The 24,639-nt window shown below is 38.1% G+C and overlaps 2 pseudogenes across 1 annotated transcript; both read left to right on the top strand.

The window, feature by feature from the left end:
- On the top strand, positions 1-21,007 carry CARD17P (caspase recruitment domain family member 17, pseudogene; annotated as a pseudogene). The gene is made up of 5 exons (NR_172520.1): positions 1-52; positions 681-947; positions 2,039-2,097; positions 8,876-9,006; positions 20,860-21,007. The product of NR_172520.1 is annotated as a caspase recruitment domain family member 17, pseudogene (transcript).
- On the top strand, positions 3,871-6,022 carry CASP1P3 (caspase 1 pseudogene 3; annotated as a pseudogene).
- Positions 21,008-24,639: the final 3,632 nt, after the last annotated feature.

Here is a 24,639-nt window from a genome sequence, read left to right as displayed (position 1 = left end):
ATGCTTTCAGTTTCAGCTTACACAAGAAGGGAGGAGAGAAAAGCCATGGCCGGTGAGTCTTTTACTGTCCCAAAAACAGGCCCCTGGGAGGAAAAAGTTGTGGAAGGCGCTTGCTCTTCTGGAAGCTATCATCAGTATCTGTGGAGGTTTATGTGAGCAAAAGTGAGGGACAGGGAGGAGAGTGAGGAGAGAAGAAATTAGATGACTCTTGCAGCCTTTAGAAAGGAAAGGAAAGCCCAGAAAGGAACTGAGGCTTTAGGAGTAGCTTGCTGTCATTTTGCAATCTTATTTAAACTCTTACATGTTGTAAGTGTGGCAGAGGCTACAGAATTGGCACAGGAGGAGTACTAGCAGCAGTGGTTCCTAAATGAAATGGGCTATTTCTGTTTCATTACTTTATTATTCAGAGTTAAATAATCATGTGACATAAGAGGATGATTTCTGCTTTCCAGGGACTAATGTGGAAATGGTAAACTGAGTCTTCAGGCCACTCCATGCACATGTATGGAGACTATTGAGGGAAACAAGTAGTACAGCGATAAAGTAAGAAGAGGGATTACCCAACTGTGAGGAGGGGGACATTTCACTGATGAAATCTAAATGAGGTTGCCTTCTGGTGATGACATGAGAGGAATATGAGGCTGTTTTCATGATGTGAGAAATCCTTGTGCTCCAAACAGACAAGGTCCTGAAGGAGAAGAGAAAGCAGTTTATCCGTTCAGTGGGCGAAGGTACAATAAATGGCTTACTGGGTGAATTATTGGAGACAAGGGTGCTGAGCCAGGAAGAGATAGAGATAGTAAAATGTGAAAATGCTACAGTTATGGATAAGGCCCGAGCTTTGCTTGACTCTGTTATTCGGAAAGGGGCTCCAGCATGCCAAATTTGCATCACATACATTTGTGAAGAAGACAGTCACCTGGCAGGGACGCTGGGACTCTCAGCAGGTAAGGGTCAGTGACTCATACTCAAGTTCGCCTAGGGCCTGTCATTGTGACTACCATGTGATGTCTTTACTAGTCATGTTAAGTTGCAGAAAACTTCCTTCTCTCTGGCTTCAGGCAATATTTCTGTAACACGGGCCCTACTGCATGTCCCTTGACTCTCCTTCGTTTCTGTTTACTCATCCTCAGTGGCCCTCTTCTGATTAAAGCACATTTCCTGTTCTGAGTAAGCGGTAGCTGATTTCCTGAAGGTTATGAGAACTATCTAAAAAGCTTCACACTATATGTTCCACTGTTCCAGGCGAGGCACAATATTTATTGATTGATTTAGTATTTTTGAGTCCAGGGTGTACCCAGGCACTTATGTAGTTGTCTGTCATGAAGGTTTAAGGTCTGTAATTAAATACGTTTTATAACTTCTCTCCAAAATATTGCCCTCCAAGAAGAATAAGTTATATTTCAAAAGTGGTGATATACTCAGAGAATACACTGAATGATTATAGAAAAGTAAGGATTTCAAGTTGGCTTTTTCCTCCCGTTGCCTCCTTGCATTTTCTTTTGAGTAAGATCACCCACTTGCCTGTTATCAGGCTGTGGATCATGCTGTGAGCCCTGGACTGCCTCCATTTGTGGCCACCTTGTGACCTGATACAGTGCACAGGAAATGAGTTGGCCCATTCCTGTGATCCCTTGGACCTACCACATGGTGAGGATGAGAGTTCTGGTGGACTCCTAGTTACTGGTCTCTGTGGTACTTTCCAATGCCACTTCAGAGGCAGATGTTCTTTCAAAGTAAAAGGCTTTTTTTGTTTTGTTTTGTTTTCTAAGGGTTAGAGGAAGCTTACGCCTGTCTAAGCAGACATGGGAGAAGTTTATGTTTTCATCTATGTGTAATAAATGTCATATTTTTCTGACAATGTCTCTTTCATTTTATACCCCCACGACTCTCTAAATTAAAGAACATTTTGAACGTTATTTAATGTCGTTCAGTCAGGGTTGTGGGAGGAATCTTTAGTGGGGAGTGTTGTAAGCATTAGGGTAAAGTTTTCCAGAGATGATAAGTGACTATTTCAATGTCCTTCTTCTTTCTCTAGGTCCAACATCTGGAAATCACCTTACTACACAAGATTCTCAAATAGTACTTCCTTCCTAGGTAATGCTGTTTTTAAAGAAAGAGCATTCTTTGAACCGTGGCTTCCCGTGACATTAATGTTGTAGGATGAACCACAGTTAAAGGGGCTATGAAGAATTCCCATAGAGTGATCATACAATTTTCTTTTTGTAATCTATTCTGCTTTTGTAGCAACTGTCAAAACAGCTTCACTATCTATGTTTACATTAAAATTTGGAATCAGTATCTCAAATCCTGATTACCCAAATAAGTACCAAACTTCATCATTTAAGCCTACTGAAATATTCCCTCACGTCTCCTAGAGACACCTTTATCTAAACAATATCAGAGCTGAACATGCCATTCTTCCCCACCCTGCTTCTCTTCCAGTTTTGTGTAACTCGGTTATTGATGTCACCATCACCAGTTGTTCAAACCAGGAACTTGAAACACATCTTGGCCCCTTTCCTCTCACGCATCTCCAATATTCAAGCCACCGCCAAGTTTTATGCATTCTTCTCTCAAATTTGGAACTGTCTCGCTATTTCTTCTTCTATTTCATTAAAAACCCCTATTCATCAAGGGCCCTCTTAAAATAAAAGAAACTTATATTTAAAAGCAATTTAGAGGCAAGAAGTGTAAATTTTTCTATCAACTTCAGTTTTTACTCTATTGAATTTATTAAGGTTGATTAACTCATGAATATTTTCTTAAATGTTTTACAGCATGGGACACTCACTATATAACCAAATACTGCATTTTCACTAAGAAAAATTACCTCAAACATAACTCATATACCTCTATTTAGTTTTTTTATGTCGTTTTCATTCTTCTTTCTGAAGAAACCAAACATTTCTTCTATCAAATTACTAATTTTTAGTTTTCTCCAATATATCCATTCCAATTAGTTCTTCCCCAAGTCAACACAATTCATGCTGCCTTTATTTATCTAACTAATTGTATAACAGTTTCTCAAACTTGTTTTCAAAATTAAATATTATTTCCTTGACATAATAGTTTCTAAAAGATACTCCACAAATCTAGAAAACTAATTTCTATCTTGAAACAAAGATTACATTAAGTTTTTTAACAACTATATCACATTGTCGGATGGTGTTGTACTGGTGATGAAATAAAAGCTGCAAGGATTTTTTCACATAAACTCTGTGAAAACATTTCCTCATATGTCTGTGCAGTCAATGTTAAGTGCTATAAATCCATCTAGTGTGCACTTTGATTTTAGCATTTATCATTCTAGTTCATATATTTAATAATCTCCTTCTTCCATATGTATACATAGTAGGAAGAGATCCTGAAGGACAGGCCAAAGTTCATTAAAAAAGTATTCCTAGTGCTTACTACCATGTCTATTCAGTAAATAAATAAAGAGATAAACATATTTCTTAAAGATTTTTGGTAGATTTTGTTAAGACCTCCTCCCATTAAATTTTATTCTATGGTTCAAATCTTTTGAAATAAATTTATGTTCTATTTTATCTCACACATTTGATTGTTTTCTGAGCATTTTTTCATGCATGGCCTTGAAAAGCTTCCTTTCTACATTTTTATCTAAAATACTTGTAAAAATACTGATCCTGAAATATGAAAGGAGATCCCTGTATTGCACACCTGGAAATCTCTGGCTGGAAATGTACTCCATTAGCAGTGAAATTATTCAGCGGTGAAAGATCAGGATTGTCTTCCTAAGAATGCATTTCCACTTTTGTGGCTTCATCCTTAGGTGAGGCTGTAAGAAACACAAAGCGGAACAAAGAGGGATGCCAATGTTCATGATATTCTTTGACTCTTGCGACTCCTCAGGCTGTGGCAGTGTGGGACAGCCCTGCTATGCCTACATCCTCAGGCTCAGGAGGAAGCATCAAGCTTTGCTCCCTAGACGAAGCTAAAAGGATATGGAAAGAAAAGTTGACAGAGGTGCCATGCTCAGAACACAAGGTTAGAGTGGGGTGAAAGATACATTTGAGGCAATTCTGAAATGCAGTGGCTTTTTCTTAGAGCTGTTCTCAACGGAGAATCTTACTTCTGCTTCCTTTACCTAAAAAAAAAAAAAAAATCCTGCATCCTAGGATCCCAGGTTTATAGAAACAGTTCCTAATTGCACCCAATTCCTGGATAAATAACATCAACAATGGCAGCTATTGAATGTTCACTAAGAGTGGGCACTGTTCTAAGCATTTTGTACATGATAATACATAATTTTTAACCTTAAAAATAATCCATTTTAGAGATCTAGAAGCTGAGACATGGGGTTGTTAAATATTCTGCCCAAAGAAAAACAATAAAAAATTAGAGCAATCAGTTTTAGAATTCAGGCATTCTGGCTTCAAAGCTTGTGCATTTTTCAAAATCCTACGTATCAAGAAAAATGAAGTCAGTAGCTAACCTGCCATCTGGGCCTTTGCAGTTTCTATGCCTACTCTCGAAGTAGCACTGAATTCCGTTCCCCATTTTCAATGTGTAGTCCAAGGGATTTGGTACCTTGATAGGACTAAGAAAGGGAAAATGGTCATAAATTAACCAGGTGAATATTAAATTACAGAGAATAAGACTATTCATCCAAACTGCATTTCCTACAGATTTATCCAATAATGGGCAAGTCAAGCTGCACACATCATGCTTGCTCTCATTATCTTTAACAAAGAGTTTGACAGTCTTTCTAAAAGAGTGGGAGCTGAGGTTGATGTCATAGGCATGATGATGCTGCTACAAAATCTGGGGTACAAGGTGGATGAGAAAAGAAATCTCACTGCTTCGGTAAGGTCTATTATACCATAGAGACAACGGTCATGCCCTTTGTGTAACTAAATAATATTAGAAAGCTTGGTTGTAGGACCAAGAATTGTAATCTGTTGATAATCTAAAATATAAACTTGCCATGGAAGGATGCTGGATGCTACATATTCCCCTGAAACATCAGAGTCATTCAGCATGAGTCTGGTTTAACTTAAATGTGAAGGTTTTTTTTTTTTTTTTCTCAGTAATGCCACGTTCTCTTTACCAGATAACTCTGAATGACTTCCTACAACACCTTCCTTCACCTTTCTCGAAATTAAGACTAAAAGGTTTTTTGGCCCTCCATTGTTTGTCATGAAATTACTTAAGAAATCCTTAAGTACTTATTTATTGGCTTTCCAAGGTGCCATGAGGGTTAATCACATAGTCCAAAATCAGCAGTATGGTCTCTTTCAGGAAATGACTACAGAGTTGGAGGTATTTTCTCTGCACCAAGAGCACAAGGCCTCTGGTCTCATGGTATTCGGGAAGGCATTTGTGGGAAGAAATACTCTGAGCAAGTCCCAGATGTATTACAACTCAATGAAATCTTTAAAACGTTGAATAGCAAGAACTGCCCAAGTTTGAAGGACAAACCCAAGGTGATAATCATCCAGGCCTGCCATGTTGGTGAGGCTAATGTCTTTGAGAACACCAGACATTCAAATACTGTCCTCATCTGTATTCATCATGAATTTTCAGTTTATGTCTGTTTTTTAGTGTCAAAGAACATACACTGTCAGCACTCAAGATGTGGCTTCTGTGAATTGTATGACTGGTTGGTAGATATTTGTTTTATATTCAAGTCTGAGACTTTGATGTTTGGTGGTTTTTAAAATTAGTTTGAGAGTTAGAAGAAATAAGAATTGTTGAAAGAATGTTACTTGAATGTATGTGTGTATGTGCATGTGAATTAATGATAGAGCAAATATATTGATAAATATGATTGAACAGACGCTAAGAGGAGAACGTTGTCCTCTCAGCCATTGGTAGTAGTAACAAACCAAATTTTGTCTTTCCAGAGAACCATGGTGTGGTGTTGGTAAAAGATTCAGTACCGGCCTCTGAAAATATATCTTTACCAACTCCGGGAGATTTTGAGGATGATGCTATTAATCAAGTACACATAGAGAAGGATTTTATTGCTTTCTGCTCTTCCACATTAGGTAACAGGTTTCTTGTACACAGAACATCTTTGTGGGTGTTATCAATAGAAAAACTCACAGCCACCCACTAGAGGGTAGATACCTGTGCAGAACTTTAGATAAGATTTTTGAACACAAACTAAAGCTTTGTTCCAAGTTATACACAGGATTCCCTTTATCCTCAAAGAGCAAGTAAGCACTTCTTTTCACTGATTTAGTAATTAATGAACTCCTCTCTGTTGCAAAATATTTTAGAACTGTGAGAGATAACAGAGAATGAAATGGAAGACGATCTCTGCTGTAGAACATTAGAGTCTGACTCTACATAGAAAAGGTCCTCCATGTTGAGATCATTCAATGGACCAATTGGGCCTAACATCAAGTATTCATAGGAGAAGAGTAGAAGCAGGGTTCAGAAAAGTAGAACAGCAAGCGAGGAACTTTGGGCCCCTAAATTAAAGTGGGTTTTACCTAGAAGCAAGTATATAAAGCAGAATATATACGCATTATTCTAAATGTATGCTTTGCAGTAAGAATCTTGCTATTATTGACAGATCTAGTCATTTAGTACTTTGTAAACTAGCTCCACTAGTTCCTCCCTGTACTTTCCTTGAATTACTCACTAATATATATGAATATAAATATCATTTTTTAAGGATTAAAGAAATTAATATATGTGAAATATTGCACATGACAGAAAGAAGTACACATTAAAGAACTGGTATTATTTAAAATGTTTTTATTTTATAACTTCATTCAGTTACTTTTCTTAGCAAGGTTTAAATAAAAATGACTTGAATGCTTTTATCCACCTTGTATGGCAGTTTCCTGAGAGGACTCGCATTGTCTTGGTCACCTCTGGCTCAAAGGCCCTGCCTCTGCTCAAGTAGTTAAATTTTCTGAAATAATTTGTACAATGAGATATCTTCTTTCAGAAGAAGTTTGGTTCTATATTGTCTTGAACATGCCCTGATGCAGAACTCAATATTTTTTCAATGATCAAAACCAATGACAAGATAAACACACAAAAAAATACATTTCCAGCCTGAGTACATAGAGTAGACTATAACATTAGACAGAACTGTTCTTTAATATCCTTTGATCCCAGCCTTCCACATGACATTCATGGCCCTCTATATAGCATTTTGTAGGCCCCCGGCTTCTCATCACCAATCCTGCTGATTTCCGTGTTTTTCTTTTCTTTCATTTTCCTTACTCCTCCTTTCCATATGACTGTCAGAAACTCCATTTAGTTATTTATAACTCCCATATTAAGCCTAGCTCCACATTCTGCTGTGCAAATCCCAACTATTTCATAGTGCTCTCCTGAGGAAAAGTAACTATCTACTTCCTTAATTTCACAAAACATTTGCAGAAACACCTGTTTCCACCTTATCTCTTACCTACTTCCTTCAACTAAGATAGCTGTGGTTCTAAATAGAATTTTATTATTAATATACACTTTATGACCATTATAATTGGCTGAAATGTGTCATTAAAGAAGTCTGTGATTATACACAGAGCTATTGCTACTGCTTTTCTCTTATGCCTCCCTTTGTATAATTTTCACATGTCTTCATTACTTCCGTGTCTACCATGTAATAAATATTGTTTTCTTTAATATTTTTCTCTTCCATAAGAACTTCTTATTGTCCATTATGATGTCAACATCCTTTTATTGACTTTTCCTAGATTTCTACTTTTGTTCTGTTTTATGATTTTTATGGTTAACTCTTCGTGTGGAAATATCTTACAGTCAATGTTATTAAATTTTCATTAAAATTTTATGTGAAGTACATACATTGAGAATTTATTAACATAATTACCCTGTATAGACTGAGTATTACATACCCTTTGTTAGCTCAGACACTAGTGTAGACTCAGATATCTCCTGTGTATGAAATTGTTACCATTCCCTGTATAGCTGAGTCTATTGCATATCAGCATGGACAATTAACTTAAATCACAGTCAGTAACAGCACTTTGGGGATGCACATTTAGATATTTCTTTTTCAAATCCCAATTCCTTCCCTTTACCACATTCTGCCTTTTCCTAACTCTCTACTAAATTTACGACTGTAACTCTGGGACTATGCAACGTTAGTACCTGCACCATATACAGCACCATTTAGAGTATCAGTAAAAATATACTCACTGAACTTCAAATGTATTCACTAAAAAATACAGTGAAGTGTATGGAAAATAGATGAACTCCAAAATATGCCTCAGCTGGAGCAGAAATACTAGAGTTTCTTCTCTTTCTTCGGGCAAGAGTCAATCTTGAGATTTAAAGCTTTATCAATAGATAATGTTTGCTGGAGACATCCTGCAAAGGGCTCTTTTTGTTATGAGTCATTGAACAACTGCAAGAATATTCCTGTTCCTGTGATGTGGAGGAAATTTTCCACAAGATAGGGCTCTAGTGGATGCTATTTTCACTCTGCTTCCCCGAATGCTTGGCTATTGCAATTGGAAGCATAGAAAGCAGATCCAGACATGTTTATCTTCCAATAACACCCTTCCTTCCAAAAAAGTTTTGAAGTTCTTTGGAGAGTGAACAAGCCTGGGAGCCAGATCCAATCTGTTAAGACCAACAGCCTCAATAAAATAATCATTTAGTTTCACCCACCTCCTGCCCTGCAGAGACACATGAATGGACTCTAATTTCCCTGTGTCCCTCATGGACATTAGATCCAACCACAGATTTAAAACGCCCTGAGGAGAGTGATTCAATGCTTAGATAAGCACATGGCTGTACTTGTTGTAGATACAAGTACTTTTTGTTTTCATCACTTACTTTGCTAGATTTGTTTTAGCCTTTTTGGCATGAGTTAATAATCTTTTCAGAAAAACAGGTCTCCAGACTTTCTTTTCTCTTTCAGGTTCAACTTTCATTTGAGCAGCCAGATGATAAAGCACAGATGCCCAGCACTGAAAGAGTTACTTCGACAAGACGTTTCTATCTCTTCCCAGTACATTAAAATAAGGAAGCTGTATGAATGTCTGAGGGCCGGTATGTGTGTGTGGTCAGGAGTGTGGGAAGGTTGAGTAAAGTGTACTGAAAGTCCATTTTAGTCAAGGACTCGAAGTCTACCGATTGAGAATTTTTAATCCAAAAATTTAAATTTTGAAATGCTCTAAAATCCAAAACTGTGTGAGCGCCCACATGATATTCAAAGGAAATGCTTATTGAAGCATTTCAAATTTTAGGTTTTTGGAATAAGGATGCTAAACCAGTAAGTATAATGTAGATATTCCAATATACAAAAATATCTGAATTTCAAAATACTTCAGGTAGCATGAATTTTGGATAAGGGATAATCAAGCCGTGGCATAATATACAGAAAATACTGAAGTAATGCCTTTCTTCTGGTCTCTGCAGAGCATGCTGCTCTTCTTCCAAAGTTTTTCTTTTTTTCTTTTAGACCCTTTCTGAGGGTCAGCTGATATTGACCTAGAAGTGGCCATAAGTCTATGAAGGCTGACTCTTAGATGTTTCTCCCCTTCACCTCAGCAGGGTAACATTTTAAAATAGCATGTGGCCTTTCCTTTTAAGGTTGCATATGTTCCCATTGGTGGTATAACTTTATAACTTACATTTCTTTTAGCAAAATTCTCTTTTATGCTTGTTTTTTTTCCCCATAGGAAACCTAGAGTTTCTTCATTCTGTAATGGTTTTTGGAATTATATCTGTTTAATAATAGACTTCTGAACATTTTAATAAATCTGATATAAAAGTAAAAACATGTCCTCAGTTTTCTTCCACATTGGAGCAACAGTGGTTGGAAATCAGAGGGAGTACTGAATTTAGAATGTTAGACTTAATCCGTAAGACCTGAACTGGCTATTGGCACCATTTTTTCATTCAAAATACCATTTGCTGCTGGATTGAAGACACAAATTACAAATTAGGGATGCAGATACAAATTACCACAGGTACCCGACTTCAAAAAATTTAGAGCTCTGCAGGAGAGATGGAAAGAAGACGAATAGTTATGACAGTGACACTGCAGTGGGATAAGGGACTTTTCCCAAATCCCAGTTTACTACCAAAAATCCATCAACAGAACCTGCATATTTCTACCCTTTGTTAAGGTATTTAAGAGAGAGAAAGTAAATTTTGAATTAACTGTAGACCTTCAGTAGTTCACAGACTTCTTGAAAAGGTAAGACATACATCAAAAATGAAGCGCTTGGCAGATGGTGCATGACACCCTGAAGAAACTCTAGGATGCATGGTGTGCACAGTGAAGTCCCTGCATGGCGCAAAGAAAATGAGTTAGGGCTGAAATCACTCACTCAGGGATGTTAAGATTTAGGGAGGATTGGAAGAACTACCCTTTCACCTGCAAATATGAACCTTTTCTAATCTTTATCCTATTAATTCAAAGTGAATATCTGACCTTTTAAAAACCTTCGTAGTTGAGCACATTACAATCCCTTTTTTTGTGTGGCCTTTTATTAACTGTTTGTCTGGGCACGTCTTTTCTGTACTATTGTGCATATTCTACTACAACCTAAGACTACATCTGTGATCAGTCTTTGCGCAGAGAATATCAAAAAGCAGAAGTAAATTGTCACCCTCAGTAAAAATTAATTGTTAAGGCAATCTTAAGCAGTTGAAGGAAAGCATTCCAGGGAGTAAAGGGATTCCTCCAGAGCGCTCTCCAATCAAAGGGTAAGATGACAGGGAGATGTGGAGGGGAAGACACTGTCATGATTCCTCAGCACAGTTTAAACGGTTGCAGGTGCCAATAGTTTTTGTTTTTGTCATTTATGTTGCTGTATTTGTTGCAGTTTTTCTGGTGTAAGATTCTACATCACAAAAGGTCCACAGACTTTCTCTTCTTAGGTCCAATTTTCATTTGAGCTTCCAGAGGTAGGGCACAGATGCTCATCACTGAGTGACATTGACAAGATGTTTCTATCTCTTCCTAGGACATTAAAAGAAGTAGGTTGTATGAATGTCCGTGGGCAAATGTCTGTATGTTTGTGTTGGGGATTTGAAGAAGTTGGAGAGGAGTACTGAAGCTCCATTCTGGTCAAGGTGTCTAGTTCTAAATGTGTTACTCTTCATCCAAAATTTCAAAATCTGAAATCCTCCAGTATCTACATTCTTTCCTATTACCTCCCACTTTTTTTTAATCAAAAAGAGACACTGAAAAGTCTGCAATAATTGCTAGTTTAAATGCCTTCGTTCCATTAAATTGTAAGAGTGTCTCCTATTGATATTTTTTTTTTATATAATTCCAACTTTTATTTTCCATCAAGGGGTACATGTGCAGGTTTGTGACCTAGGTATATTGCATGATGCTGTGGTTTTGGTGACAATTGCTCCTCTCATCCAAGTTGTTAGCATAGTACATAATAGTTAGTTTCTCAACCCTTGACCCTCTACCTCCGTCCTCCCTCTTATTGACCCCAGTGTCCATTGAGCCCATTTGTATTCTATGTGTACCCAATGTGATTATTCTTTTGTTTCTGTACCCATTAACATTCCCCAAATTCCCCCACACCACACTATGCTTCCCAGCCTCTGGAAATAATTCTTCAACTCTCTGTTTCATTGAGTTCAAATATTTGAAATTTTAGCTTCCACAAATAAGTTTGATTTGCATTTCACTAATAATAATGTTGTGCATTTTTTCATATACCTGTTTGGCGTTTGTATGTACTCTTTTGAGAAATGTCTATTTAGATCTTCTGCCCATTTTTAAATCAGATTATTAAAATTTTCTCCTTCAGAATTGTTTGAGCTCCTTATATATTCTGGTTTTTAATCCCTTGCCAGATGGATTGTTTGCAATTTTTTGCCCATTCTGTGAGTTTTTTCTTTACTTTGTTGATTGTTTCCTTTGCTGTGCAGAAGGTTTTTAACTTGATGTAATCCCATTTGTCCATTTTTGCTTTGGTTACTCATGCTTCTGGAGTGTTACTCAAAAAATCTTTCTTAGTCCAAAGGACTGGAGAGTTTCTCTATTTTTTGTAAGAGTTCCATAGTTTGAGGTCTTTGATTTAAGTCTTTGATTCATTTTGGTATGATTTTTGTATATGGCAGGAGTCAGGGGTCTAGGTTCATTCTTTTGCATGTGGATATCCAGTTTATTTTCAGTACCATTTATTAAAGAGACAGTCCTCTCACCATTGTCAAAAATGAGTTCACTGTAGATGTGTGGATTTATCTCTGGGTTTTGTAATCTGTTCCATTGATTTATTTGTCTGTTTTTATACCAGTACTATGACATTTTGATAATTACAGTTCTGCAGTGTAACTTAAAGTCAGGTAATGTGATTCTTACAGTTTTGTTATTTTTCTTCAGAGTACCTTTGGCTGTTTTAGATCTTTTGTGGTTCTATATACATTTTAGGATTTCTTTTTATTTTATTATTTCTGTGAAGAATGCCAATGGTATCTTTATAAGGACTGCATTGAATCTATAGATTGCTTTAGGCAGTAGAGACATGTTAACAATATTGACTCTTCCAATCCATAAACAATTTTTAAAAATTTTTTGCATCCTCTTTAATATCTTTCATTAATGTTTTATAGTTTTCATGGCAAGGGTCTTCTACTTCTTTGGTTAATGTAATTCCTAGGTATTTAATTTTAATTCTAGCTATTGTATATGGAATAATTTTCTTGATCTCTTTTTCAGCTTGCTTACCATTGGCATATAGAAATACTATTAAATTTTGCACATTAATTTTTGTATCTTGCAATGTTTCTGAATTAGTTTATCAGGTCTAAGAGTTTTTTGGTGGAGTCTTTAGGATTTTTCAGATATAAGGTCACATAGTCTGCAAACAAGGATAATTTGACTTCTTCCTTTCCAATCTCGATGCCCTTTATTTCTTTATCTTTTCTAATTGCTCTGCCTAGGACTTGCAACACTATGTTGGATAACAGTGTTGAAAGTGGACATCCTGATCTTAGAGGAGAGGCGTTCAGTTTTCCCCACTCAGTATAATACTAGCTGTGGATCTGTAGTATATGACTTTTATTATGTTGAAGTATGTTCTTTCAGTACCTGTTGTTTTTTTTTGAGGATTTTCATGATGAAGGTATTTTGAATTTTATTAAATGCTTTTTCAACATCAATTTAAATGATTTTATGTTTTTTGTCCTTTCTTCTGTTGATACAATGTATCACATTAATTGATTTACATATGTTGAACAATTCTTGCATCCCTTGGATAAATCTTGCTTGGTCATGATGAATGATCTTTTGAATGTGTTGTTGAATTTGGCTTGCTAGTGTTTTGTTATGGATATTTGTATCAATATTCATCAATCATACTGGCCGAAATTTTCTTTCTTTTTTTTTTTTTTTGATGTGCCTTTGTCTGGTTTTGGTATCAGAGTAATGCTGTCCTTGTAATGAGTTTGGAAGTATTTCTTCCTCCTCTGTTAGTCTAAGGTTTTTTTTCCTTCAAATTATTTTAAGTTGTGGTGTACTTGTGTAGGATGTGCAGGTTTGTTACATAGGTAAATGTTTGTCTTGGTGGTTTGCTGTACAGATTAACCAATCATCTAGGTATTAACCCAGAATCCATCAGCTATTCTTCCTGATGCCCTCCCTTCCCCTGACCCCCTCATAGGCCCTAGCATGTGTTGTTCTCTTCGCTATGTAAATGTGTTCTCATTGTTCAGTTCCCACTTTAAGTGAGAACATGAGGTGTTTGCTTTTCTGTTCCTGCATTAGTTTGTTGAGGATAATGGCTTCCACCTCCATCCATGTTCTTGGGAAGGACATGATCTGATTTCTTTTTATGGCTGCATAGTATTCCAGCATGATGTTCCATGATGTAGCTGCACAGTATTCCATGATGTATACATACCACCCTTTCTTATTCCTATCTATCACTGATGGGCATTTAGGTTGATTCCACGTCTTTGCTATTGTGAACAGTGCTGCAGTGAAAATACGCTTCCATTTATCTTTGTAATAGAATGATTTATATTCTTTTGGGTATGAAAATCTCCAATCTACTTCCCACAGTGCTGAACTAATTCAGGTTTCCACCAATATTGTACAGGCATTGCTTTCTCTTCACAGTGTTGCCAGCATCTGTTATTTTTTGACTTTTATTTTCACACAAAAAATAAAAGGAGAAAACACTTCTCAACTTATTCTGTGAGACCAATATTAACTTGATATCAGAACTTCACAATAGCAAAGACTGGAATCAACCCAAATGCCCATCAGCGATAGACTGGATAAAGAAAATGTGGTACATATATGCCATCTAATACTATGCAACCATAAAGAAGGATAAGATCATGTCCTTTGCAGAGACATGAATTACCTGGTAGCAATTATCCTCAGAAAACTGGCATAGAAACAGAAAACCAAACACTGCATGTCCTCACTTATAAGTGGGAGCTGAACAATGAGAACACATGAACACATGGAGGAGAACAACACACACTGGGGCCTGACAGGGGGATTTGAAGGGAGGGAGAGCATTAGGAAAAATATCTAATGCATGCTTGGCTTAATAACTAGGTGATAGATTGGTCTGTGTAGCAAACCACCATGGTACACGTTTACCTAAGTCACAAACCTGCACATGCTGCACATTAATCCCAGAAATTAAAAAATTATATCTAATAAATTCACAAATAAAATTATCAAAAATTCTAAAAAACTGAATCCAGCAACTATAAAAACTATTATACATGATGACCAATGATATACTATGGGTGTTTTATTAATAGCCATTCTGATTGGTGTGACATGGTGCTTTATGGTGATTTTGGTTCGTTTTTCTCTGATGATTAGTGATGTTGAAAATTTTTTCATACATTTTTTGCTACTTGTTTGTCTTGTTTTGAGAAATGTTTGTTCATGTCTTTCACCTACTTTTTAATAGGGTTACTTATTTTTTCCTGCTGAGTTGGTTTAGTTACTTACAGGTTCTGGATATTGGACCTTTGTTGGATACATTGTAAATATGTTCTCTCATTCTGTCTTAGCACCATTTATTGAATAGGGAGTCCATTCCCCATTGCTTATTTTTGTCCACATTGTCAAAGAAAAGATGGCATACAGCTTTATTTCTAAGTTTTTCATTTTGTCTATTAGTCTATGTGTCTGTTTTTGTACGAGGACCACACTGTTTTTGTTACTGTAGCCTTATAGTACAGATTGAAGTCAGGTAAGGTAATGCCTCCAGCTTTGTTTTTGTTGCTTAGGGTGGCTTTGGCTATTCAGGCTCTTCACTGGTTCCACATGAATTTTAGAATTGTTTTTATTTTTCACTCTGTGAAAAATGGCATTGATCATTTGATAGGAATAACACTGAATCTGTGGATTGCCTTGGGCAGATGGCCATTTTAATGGTATTGATTCTTTTACTTTGTGAGCATGGAATGTTTTCCCATTTGTTTGTGTCATATCTGATTTTAGTGTTTTGTAGTTCTCCTTGTAGAGATCTTTTGGAATATTCCTGGGTATTTTCTTTTCCTTTTTTGGCTACTGCAATTGAGGTGAGTTCTTGATTTGGCTCTCAGCTTCGACAGTTTTGGTGTACAGAAGTGCTACTGAATTTTGTACATTGGAGGACAGTTTGACTTCTTCTTTTCCTATTTGGATGCCTTTTATTTCCTTCCATTGTCTGATCACTCTGGCTAGGACTTCCAAGACTATGTGGAATAGTTGTGTTGAGAGAGGGCATCCTTGTCTTGTGCTGGTTTTCAAAGGGAAATCTTTCAGATGTTTGGCTATGGGTTTGTCATAGTTGTCTCTTATTATTTTGGGGTCTGTTCCCTTTGTTGCCTAATTTGTTGAGGGTTTTTTATCATAAAGGGATGTTGCATTCTATAAACAGCTTTTCTGTGTCTGCTTTTTTGTTTTAAATCCTGCTTATGTGGTGAATCACATTTATTGACTTGTGTATGTTGAATCAATCTTGCATTATGGGAATGAAGTGCACTGGATTGTGGTGAGTTAACTTTTTGATGTGCTGCTGTATTCAGTTTACTAGTATTTTGTTGAACAAAATCGAAAACTTTTTGAGTGTTGACATGATATTCAAAGGAAATGCTTATTGAAGTATTTCTGATTTTAGGTTTTGGGATCAGGAATGCCCAACTAGTAAGTGTAATGTAGATATTCCAAAATTCAGAAAAGTCTGAAATCCAAAATATTTTGTGTCCCCAGCACCCAGCATTTTGGAAAAGAGATATTCTACCCATAGTATAATAAACAGGGAATACTGAAAGAACACCTTCCTTCTGCTCAGTGCAGAGTGCACTGTTCTTCTCTCAAAGTTCATTGCTTAAACTATTCCTTTTGAGGGTCAGTTGATGTTGATTTCTGAGGTGGTAATAAGATCACAAATGCTCACTTATAGGTTTTTCTCTCTCATTTCAGCCGGGGAAAATCTAGATACAGCATGGGCTCTTTACTTTTCAGAATGTGTATAGCCCCATTGGTGGTATGACACTATAAGTAGCATATCTTTTAGTGGAACTTTTAAAAATGTTTGCTTTATTTCTTTTCCCCAGAGGAGGCAAAGAATCTCTCTTTATGCCCCTGCTTTTTGAGTCGTGTCTGTTCAAAAACACACAGTTCCACAAGCATTCCATTAAGTCTGATATAAAAATGAAAATGTCCTATGTTTTTTACCACACTGGAAAAAAAAAGATGAAACTTAGAGCAGGTAATGGATTTAGAGTCTTCAGACTTGATTCATAAGACCTGAACTGGCTAATAGCACCATTTTTTCCTTCAGAATACCATTTTCAGGGCTTTCTGCTTTGGGAATACAGATCTAAATTATAGTAAGTACATAACTTTGAAGAATTTAGAACTCAGCAGGAGAGGTGGGGAGAAGGAAGACAGTTATGATAGTGAGAGCATGATGTGAAAAGGGACATTTTTCCAAATCCCAGAGTTTACTATTGACAAATCCATGAAGAGAATCTGCATATTTCTAACCTTTGCTAAGGGTGTTGAGAAATACAAAATAAATTTTGATTAAAACCTAGATCCCTAATATTTCACAGTCTTCTCACAATCAACAAATATAAAAGTAATAGCAGATAGAGCATGAGACTCTGAAGAAACACTACAGTGCATTGAATGCAAAATTATGCACCTGCATTGTGCAGGAGAAAATAGTTTGGGTTTAAATCAGTCACTCAGTGATGTAAAGATTTTGAAGAACTGGAAGAACTACAAGTTGAATTGCAATCATGAGCCTTTTCTAATCCTAAACTCAATAAAAGTGAATGTGAATTTCTGACCTCTTGAAATCCTTCAATGATGATCATCATACTGCCATTTTATGAATTATTATTTTTTAAGTTCTGGAATACAAGTGCAGGATGTGCAGGTTTGTTACATAGGTAAACGTGTGCCATGGTGGTTTGCTGCTGCACAGATCAACCATCACCTATTTATTAAGCCAGGCATTCATTAGCTCTTTTCCCTAATGGTCTCCCCCAGCTCCCATCCTCTTCTCTGACCCCGTTGTTTGTTGCTCCCTTCCCTGTGTCCATGTGTTCTCATTGTTCAGCTCCCACTTATAAGTGAGAACATGTATTGTTTGTTTTTCTGTTCCTGCATTAGTCTGCTGAGGATAATGGCTTCCAGCTTCATCCTTGACCCTGCAAAGGACATGATCTCATTCTTTTGTATGGCTGCATAGTATTCCATGGTGTATATGTGCCACATTTTCTCTATCCAGCCTATCATTGATGGACATTTGGGTTGATTTCATGTCTTTGCTATTGTGACTAGTGCTGCAATGAACACATGCATGCATGTAATATATCTTTATAATAGAATGATTTATATTCCTCTGGGTATTTACCCAGTAATGGTATTTCTGTGTCAAATGATATTTCTGGTTTTAATCTTTGATGAATCACCACACACTCTTCCACAATGGTTGAACTAATTTACATTCCCAGCCACAGTGTCTCTTGAATACAACATACTGATGGGTCCTGTCTTTTTATCCAGCTTGCCATATTCTGTGTCTTTTAATTGGGGCATTTAGCCTGGTGGCGACAAAATCTCTCAGCATTTGCTTGTCTGAAAAGGATTTTATTTCTTCTTCACTTATGCAGCTTAGTTTGGCCAGATACAAAATTCTGGGTTGGAAATTATTTTCTTTATGAATGTTGACTATTGGTCCCCAGTATTTTCTGGCTTGTAGAGTTTCTGCTGAGAAGTCCGCTGCTAGTCTGATGGGCTTCCCTTTGAAGGTGACCTGGCCTCTCTCTCTGGCTGCCCTTAACATTTTTTCCTTCATTTCAACCTTAGAGAATCTGATGATTATGTGTCTTGGGATTGATCTTCTTGTGGAGTATCTTACTGGGGTTGTCTGAATTTCCTGAATTTGAATGTTGGTCTGTCTTTCTAGGTTAAGGATGTTCTCCTGGATGATATCCTGAAGTATGTTCTTCAACTTGATTCCATTCTCCCTATCTCTTTTGGGTACTTCAATCAGTCATAGGTTTGGTCTTTTTACATAGTCCCATAGCTCTGGAAGGTATTGTTCATTGCTTTTATATTTTTTTCTCTAATCTCGTCTGCCTGCCTTATTTCAGAAAAGTAGTATTCAAGCTCTGATATTCTTTCTTCTGCCTGGTTGATTCAGCTATTAATACTTGTGTTTGCATCATGAAGCTCTCATGCTGTGTTTCTCAGCTCCAACAGGTCATTTGTATTCCTCTCTAAACTGGTTATTCTAATTAACATTTCCTGTAATCTTTTATCATGGTTTTTGGCTTCTTTGCATTGGGTTAGAACATAATCCTTTAGCTCAGCAAAGTTTGTCATTACTCAGTTTCTGATACCTACTTCTGTCAGTTCATCCATCTCAGCTTCAGCCCTGTTGTGTGCTCTTGCTGAAGAAATGCTGAAATCATTTGAGAAGAAAAGGCATTCCAGCTTTTGGAATTTTCAGCGGTCTTGCACTGGTTTTTCATCATCTTTGTGGATTTATCTACCTTTAATCTTTGAAGCTGTTGACCTTTGGATGGGATTTTTGTAGGGTCTTTTTTGTTGATGCTGTTGTTATTGTTGCTTTCGTTTTTTGTTTTTCTTCTAGCAGTCAGTCCCCTCTTCTGCAGGTCTGCTGCAATTCGCTGGGGGTCCACTACAGATACTGTTCACCTGGGTATCATCGATGGAGGCTGCAGAACAGCAAAGATTGCTGCCTGCTCCTTTCTATGGAAGCTTCGTCCCAGAGAGGCACTTACCTGATGCCTGTTGGAACTCTCCTGCATAAGGTGTCTGGCAACCCCTGTTGAAAGGTCTAACCCACTCAGGAGGCCCAGGATAAGGAAACAACTTTAGGAAGGAGTCTGGCTATCCCTTAGCAGAGATGGTGCAGTGGGCTGGGGGAATCCCCCTTGTCTGGATCTCTGATACTCTTCAGAGCCAGCAGGCAGGAAAGATTAAGTTGGCTGAATCTGAGACCACAGCCACCCCTCCCCACAGGTGCTCTGTCCCAGGGAAATGAGAGCTTTGTCTGTAAACTCCTGGCTGGAGTTGCTGGAATCCCTGCAAGGATGCCTTGCCCAGTGAGGAGGGATGGATCCCGGTCCCACCTCAAGAAGCAGTCTGGCCATGATCTGCTCCAGGGGCTGTGCTGCACTGTGAAGACTGCTGCCCAGTCCAATCTGCCCAGCCTCCCTAGCACTGGGAGGGGAAAACCGCTTACTAGAGCTGCAGTAACAGCAGTCCCCCCTCCCTTGAGGACTTCGGTCATTTTAGGCCTAATCTAAGCTGCTATGCTGGGTAGTGGGGATTCTAATCCAGTGGATCTAAGCTTGCAGGCTTCTGTGAGAGTGGACATGCTGAGCAAGGCCATTTTGCTCCCTGGCTTCAGCCCCCTTTCCATGGGTGTGGATGGGACTCCTGCCTCACTAGAGTTCCAGGAGCTGCTGGACTGTGTAAAAACTCCTGCAGCTCAGTGCCTGCCCAAACAGCTGCCAACCAGAACAGCAGCCGTGGGTCTGCCCAGTTTTGTGTTGAGACCCAAGGCCCTGATGGTATATGCTCACGAGGGGATCTCCTGAGCCCTGGATTGCAAAAATTCTGGAAAAAATAGTACCCCGGGTGGGTAGCAGAGTCCCTCACTGCCTCCCTTGCCTGAAGGAAGGAGGTCCCTTTGTCCCATGTAGCTCCTGGGTGAACTGCCGCCCACACTGCTTCTCCTTGCTTTCTGTAGGTTGCACTAACTGCCTAGATAGTCCCAGTGAGAGGATTTGGGTACCTCAGTTTGAAATGCAAAAATCACTTGCCTTGTGTATTTTCCTCTGCTGGAGCTGCAAACCAGAGCTGTTTCTTCTCGGTCATCCCTTGCCTTTTTCTTTCTCTTTTTACTTACTGTTCTTCTGCGCATATCTCTTTTGTATAATCACACATTAATTCTACTACAGCTTGAGCCTCCTTCTACAATCAGCTTTCATTCAGGGGATATCAAAAAGCAAAGGTGAACTTTCACCCTCGGTAAAAATTAAATGTTATGACCATCTTAGTTAGTAAAAGGAAAGCATGCCAGGGAGTAGAGAAGAGGGTTCTCTCAGCACTATCTCCAATAAAAGGTTAAGACCATAGGGAGACAGAGAGGGGAAGACATCGTGAGGATTCATCAACACAGTTTAAGCAGGAAATATGAACTATTTGGTTAATTCTTATGAGGAAACGAAAGAAGACTTGTTAGATTAAACTCCTTCAGTCATTGTGGTTCTTTGTGATCAGAGAAAGAAAAACTGAGAGATCAGGAAGAGAAGAGACAGATGGATAGAGTAAGTAGGGGGGCCACAGGAAACAAGGAAAAGAAACAGGCTGAGGTGTCAACCCACAGGACAATGTTTTGTCATTTTCTTTTTTTCCTCCCACAGGAAGAAACTAAGTTCCAGTACTTGGATGTCAACTTGCTGACGACAAGGCACTTCCTTACAATGAGCCTGGAATTCTAAGCAGCAGTTTCACAATCTGTAATTGCACGTTTCTGCCCTTTACAATAAAGAAATACACAGTTTCCTTTCATTTCTTAGTCTGAGGCTCTTTTCAATGCTGTAGGAAAGAACACAGGCTGTTACCTATGGCAGGTGATTCCTTTTCTGACTAGGAACTTGGTAGTAGGATCTTAGAAAACACTTGATTTATTGATGTGTAATAAACATAAGAAAGGAGGTGAGCCATTAGCATGCATGCTGAATTCTTTTTCTTACTGGTTGTGCGTAGTTTGAATCACAGGACCTGGTGTTAGAGATACTGAAGGAGATCATAGTTTTCCAGAGGTCTTCGAGCCAGAAAGAAGTTAATTCCTTTCTTTCAGCTTCTGGTAATCAAAGGGAGGGTAAAGAAAGGTAGAGGAAGTTATTTGTGTGAGACAAGTCTAGAAGTTGCAAAATGCACTCTGAAATCTTTCTCTTGATTCCAAATTAATTGCCCAGATCATAAACATTCCTCCCCGAATCAGACCTGAGAGCCTCTGAATTGTTAACCTCTTTGTCATCTCTTATTGTGAATTATATCCTTGGTCTGTTTAAAGTGATTCCATTTTTACCCCTTTCTCTGGTCGCGGTACTGACTACTTTAATGCAATATTTCATAGGTAACTATCACATTTGTGTGGTTGTTGCTGTTGTTGTTTTTAAGTGGTCTCCCTCTCTCCAGGACTTAACTCTCCGATCCATTCTGCACACAACTTTCGGGTCTCCTGTCTTATATAACGACGCTGAAAAAGCCTAAGGGATAGTCATGAGTTACTTAGGCAGCCAGTATTCCAGCAGGTCATAACACTTCTTTGGCTTCATTCTCCTCATAGGAAAAGGGAGAAATTGGACTAGATCAGTGGATTCTAAACCTTATAACATATCACAGTAATCTGTAATCATATTTAAAAAGTCTGATCACTACCCCCTTCCTCACTCTGAATAGCTCAGTCTTAAATATCCTGCAGGCATTTATTGCCTTTTGAAGATCTGCAGATAATTCTTATGGAACTGACCTGGCATAGGTTTGTCTACAGATTAGAGTTATTAATAAAGTTGACCAGTTATTTAACTCTCTCTGCTTATCTGCTAGTGATCTATTAATGTAATTAACTTTGCTCAGGGACATACTGTGGCTCCTTATTGCCTTTTTTAAAAAAAATCTGAACTTTCAGACAAGTTTTTCTACCTTCTGAAACATGTGTATTCATTTCTCCATTAGTCCCTATAAAGCATTATTTCAGCTTCATAACAAAATTACTGTATTTACTTCACTCATATTTCTTTGTTGTTGAGTTTCTTTATTACTTTGATTCTCCCTATAGAGCAATTCTATCCGGGGTTTATGTCTCACCTCACAACATTTAACTTAATCTCCAGAATCAAAGGATCATTAGATAATAGATGGGAAAAATTGAAAGCCACTAGTCAAAAACAAGTCATGATCTGGTAATTATAAACAACTAAGTGTAGTCAGCTATTGTTACCTTAAACTCCTGAGGAATTGTATCCTATAATGTGTTTAAGCATTACATCACTTTACCGGGAGCCTAAACTATGGTCCTGATGAGTTTTTTCCTCTAATTGATTCCTTCCATTTTTATTACCACTGCAGCTTTCATTCAGTGATTATTATAACAAAAAATAATCTGTAATAACCATTTCTTTAAAAAATACTTACCATATGATAGCTATTTAATGTACTCTCTCTGGTTTAATATTTAAAACCAATCAATACAGTTGTGCTATTATTGCCATATTATAGTTGAAGGGGATACTTAGAGAATGCCTTCAAAATATGCTTTAGGTCAAAAGTCTGTTGAGAGGAGTGATCTCAGGTTGGCGTGACTCTCAAACTCTGCCATTACTCTACCTTTCTGCAAACATCTTCAAATACTTGCCCTGCCTCTGATCACTCCTACTTCAGTCCTGGCTTCACATTTATATTCCTTCTAAAGCCCAGCTCTCCCAGTTTTGTGGTTATACCAGACATTCAAGCCTTTGTGCTTCTTCCCACACTGCTCTCTGCCAGGATACCAACCCACAGTTGTTCACTGGACAAATTCCTACTAGTCCTTCTGGTTTCAGTGCCCAGCCCTCTCTTCTCTGGAGAGCTATCTTCCACCTACGACACGCTTTACCTATGCTTTTATTGAGTATCTGCTCATTATGTACATTCTTATAAAATGTTTCATTTTACTTATTTGCATATCTATCCACTTGACTGCAAGCTTTAAAGTGTACAAACATGTTTCCAAAATGGTACCCCTAATACTAGCAGAGTAAGTTTTAAGAAATGATGATCATTAGATATTCCTGAATGGGGCTGGGCGCTGTGGCTCACGCCTGTAAACCCAGCACTTTGGAGGGGTGAAGTGGGTGGATCACCTGAGGTCACTCATTCAAGACTAGCCTGGCCAACATGGTGAAACTCTGTCTCTACTAAAAATATAAAAAAATTGGCTGGGCATGGTAGCACATGCCTGTAATCCCAGCTACTTGAGAGGCTGAGCCAGGAGAATTCCTTGAAACCGGGAGGCGGAGGTTGCAGTGAGCCGAGATTGCGCCATTGCACCACAGCCTGGGCAGCAAGAGTGAAACTCTGACTCTCTCTCTCTCTCTCTCTCTCTCTCTCTCTCTCTCTCTCTCTTTCTCTCTCTCTCTCTCTCTCTCTCTCTCTATATATATATATATATATATATATTCCTGAATAGATAGGGGAATGAATATGCCTTCCTTCTGCTTGAAACTTCCAATGTGCACTTATCATCTGTTAAATGAAATCAAACTCACCTGGTTTGCTATTAAGAATTTGTTACTGTTCAATGGGTTCACCTTGCCCACTGCTTAGACAGAGCTGATTTGTTAGGGTAGGGGAATTGCAATCAGGAAACAGTAATTGACTCACAGCCGGCTGTGTGGGTGATCAGAGTTTTGTTATTACTTGAATCAGTCTCCCCGAGCATTCAGAAATCAGAATGTTTAAAGATAATTTGGCAGGTAAGGGCTAGGGAAGTAGGGAGTGCTGATTAGTTAGGTGGGAGATGGAATCATAGGGTGTCAAAGTGAGGTTTTCTTGCTGTCTTCTCTTCCTGGGTGCTATGGCAGCCTGGTTGAGTTAGATTATGGGTCGGGGTGGTGTCAGCTGATCCACTGAGTGCAGTGTCTGAAAAATATCTTAAGTGCTGATCTTAGGTTTCACAATAGTGATATTATCCCCAGAGCATGTTGGGGACGTTCAGACTCTAGGAGCCAGAGGTTGCATGACCCTTAAATTGTAATTTTTAATCTTGTAGCTAATTTGTTAGTCCTGTAAAGGCAGACTGGACCCCAGGCAAGAAGGGGTCTTTTTGGGAAAGGACTGTAATCAATTTTGTTTCAGAGTCAGACCATGAACTGAATTCCTTCCCAAAGTTAGTTCAGCCTATGCCCAGGAATGAAGAAGGACAGCTTAAGTGTTAGAAGCAAGATGGAGTTGGTTAGGTCTGATTTCTTTCACTGTCATAATTTCCTCAGTTGCAATATTACAAAGGCGGTTTCAATCCCTTCCTTTGGGTTTTATAACAGCTTAATCTTAAGATGTAGGCTATGAAGATGGGAAAAGGCTGTTGATCACACTGGCTTCCATCTGCTGACAGGGGACATAGTGGAAATTGGAGTGAACCCCAAGGTGAGAAGACT

Source organism: Homo sapiens, chromosome 11 (assembly GCF_000001405.40).
Source record: "Homo sapiens chromosome 11, GRCh38.p14 Primary Assembly".
In the NCBI taxonomy this organism is placed as follows: Eukaryota; Metazoa; Chordata; class Mammalia; order Primates; family Hominidae; genus Homo; species Homo sapiens.
The sequence above is the reverse complement of the archived record's forward strand: the minus strand, read 5'-3'. Positions and strand labels throughout refer to the sequence as shown.